General features: G+C 37.0%; 1 annotated feature.

The window, feature by feature from the left end:
• Positions 1,199-2,398: an enhancer, noted in NCBI's record as "P300/CBP strongly-dependent group 1 enhancer chr3:75097571-75098770 (GRCh37/hg19 assembly coordinates)". NCBI's record gives its function as "activates an origin of replication core promoter dependent on BRD2, BRD4, P300/CBP, MED14 and CDK7 cofactors, with strong dependence on P300/CBP, by STARR-seq in HCT116 cells {active_cell/tissue: HCT116}" and the evidence as "EXISTENCE:reporter gene assay evidence [ECO:0000049][PMID:35650434]".

Here is a 2,768-nt window from a genome sequence, read left to right as displayed (position 1 = left end):
AGTATGTAACCTTTTCAGATTGACTTGTTTCACTTAGTAATATGCATTTAAGTTTCCTCTATATCTGTTTATGGCTTGATAGCTCATTTCTTTTTAGCACAGAGTAATTTTTAATTTAATGGATGCATAGTTTATCTACTTTCTGAGCTTTTTATGTGTGTAAATATAGAGACAAACAGCTGCATATTATGAAATCTAGACATTTCAATGATCATATTATTCTTATTGAACAAATGAGACCACTGGAGTAAAGAGAAGTTGACATGGCCTGGATTTTAAAAAATAGTAGCTATAGGTTATGTGTAGTGGTTCATGCCAGTAATCCCAGCATTTTGGGAGGCCAAGGCAGGAAGATCACTTGAGCCCAGGAGTTGGAGACCAGCCTGGGCAACATAGTGAGACTCTGTTTCTGACTTCATGAATTTATGCTTATTACCTGGGTGACAGATAATGTGTATATCAAATTGCCATGACATGCAATTTACATGTGACAAACCTGCACACGTACTCCCAAACCTAAAATAAAAGTTGGAAAGAAAAAAAAAATGGTAGCTAGAAAAAGACCTGAACTCAGGTCTTTATATCTTCAAAGCCTATCTTCCCTGCTATACATACATGAGAGATTGTGTTACTTATCTCTCTTAAAAGTCCATTAACCAAAGTTTTATCAGTTTGTGCACCACTCCCTTTCATTTCTCTTTCAAGCAGTAAGTTTTGCTAGAAACAAAAAGCACTGTAACCAAGACAACTGTATTATTGTGAAGAAATAAAAAGAAGGAAAGAACAGCAGCAACAAATCAACTGTCATGATATATTTTCTGAGCACATCCAGGTAATAAAGCTCTTTCTGTCATCCCAAACCATGTACCCACCCTATTTTACACTACGGGCCTTGGAAAGATATGTATTTTCTAAATTACCTTAAAACTTCAAACTCGAAATTCCCCTATTCTTTTTATTCACAGTGAAGATAAAACTACACTTGAAGTATTTCACAAGTTTACAGATGACTAAGTTCTCACCCATGAGGCTTAAATGTGGTGAAGTGGAGATTGAAAAAACAGTAAAGCAACTGGGAAGGCCTGTTTGAAATCTGACATTACGCTATGACAGGGAACAATGTTTCACTCTCTTATGATGATGTCCGTACTTTCAAAGCAACTGCCAACTGGTCTTTTTATATCCAACTTGAAAATATATTGTCCACACTTCATGCTTCAGTTTTGCTTGAACGATCATCTGTTTGCCTTTTCAGCAGAATAATCCCACAGGAGTTTTTAATTCTATGTGTAAATGTTGATTTTTAATATGGAATGTTATAGTAGTAATTTATACCATGAGTTAAAACCACAGAGATTTCCTTTAAAAATTCTAATTCTCACGGTAATTATCATGTTTACAATAAAATTCAGTTCACTCTTCAAGGGACTGAGAAGCAAAGAAATATTAAATGGGAAATAAGTATTCGATTTCATTTCCTTGGGACTTCCAGGGACAAAGAAATGTATAAACGACAGAAAAATGTTCAGCCATGATTTAATTTAGTATACATGTTCTACTGTAATTTTGAAAAACAAAGTCCTTAGTTGGTATAAGCAACTTACTTTTTGATTAGAAAATTATTTATATGGAGAATGAGGAACCTAAAAAAGGAAAAGGTAGACATTAAGTTGATATTGATATTTATGTGCTTGTGGATAAAGAGAAGAACGAAAACATGGATGAGGTTATAAAAATTTCCTTGGCAGTAGGGAAAAGTGGAGAGGAAAAAAGGACAATATGTTTCTTTATGAGAGAAGAAAGGAAGAAACCAGTCAGGGAGACAGTTAGAGTGGGTCCTTGGTTGAATTCTTTCAAACAAAAGAAAAATCAAGCTGCAGGCATAGATAAGGGAACTTGCACAGGAGGGCCTGCCTAAGACATGCCCACAGCCACACAAATAAGAAAGGCCTACCCAAGTAACTTGCCCAGACATGCCTGCAATAGAAAATTCCATCCCCTGACACATGTGCAGTAAGGGGAACAAAGCAGTATGGAATAGCCTAACCTAAGGGCTGTCACGCACATTAGGAGCACATGGTGGAGCTACTAGAAATCTGCGCCTTATAGAAATGAGACACTCAGCCCTCACGGTTTTCTTATAAAGGCCCTTGTATTCAACTGTAAAAATGGCAACTCTCTTTTGGGCCCCTTCTCCATGGTGGTGAACTTTCTTCTTTTGCTTATTAAACTTTCACTCCAACCTCACTCTTGGTGTCCATGCTCCTTAATTTTCATGGCCATGGGACAAAGAACTCCAGGTGATACCTCAAACAATGAGCGACTGCTATATTGTGATGCAATGGTGAGACTGTAACATTTTGGTGCCTTGGTGAGACTGTAACATTTACATCTTTGCAGACAGTATTGTTTAATTAGTGCCTTAATTTCAGGATGTAAGAGAAAATTAATGAGAGAAGTTCTATTCCCATCAGAAATGGAGACCCCTGGTACGGCTCCTTCTGTGTTTCATGGGTTGCCTGGATAGCATACTCATGATGGGCCCCATCTTCTCCCAAATTATACAATAGCTTCCCTTAACAAGGTGTCCAGGCTCTTTAAAATCTTGTCTAACCTCATCACACACCTTTTCCTTACTCACTGTACTACACTGACCAGTGAAGGGAGTAAGCAATGTCTTACATTTTGGCCCTCTCATATCCATATACAGTTTCCTAAGAAAAGTCTGAAAGTACCAATCCAAGTAATGATTTAAAAAGAAAACAAAA

This window comes from Homo sapiens, chromosome 3 (assembly GCF_000001405.40).
Source record: "Homo sapiens chromosome 3, GRCh38.p14 Primary Assembly".
In the NCBI taxonomy this organism is placed as follows: domain Eukaryota; kingdom Metazoa; phylum Chordata; class Mammalia; order Primates; family Hominidae; genus Homo; species Homo sapiens.
The sequence above is the reverse complement of the archived record's forward strand: the minus strand, read 5'-3'. Positions and strand labels throughout refer to the sequence as shown.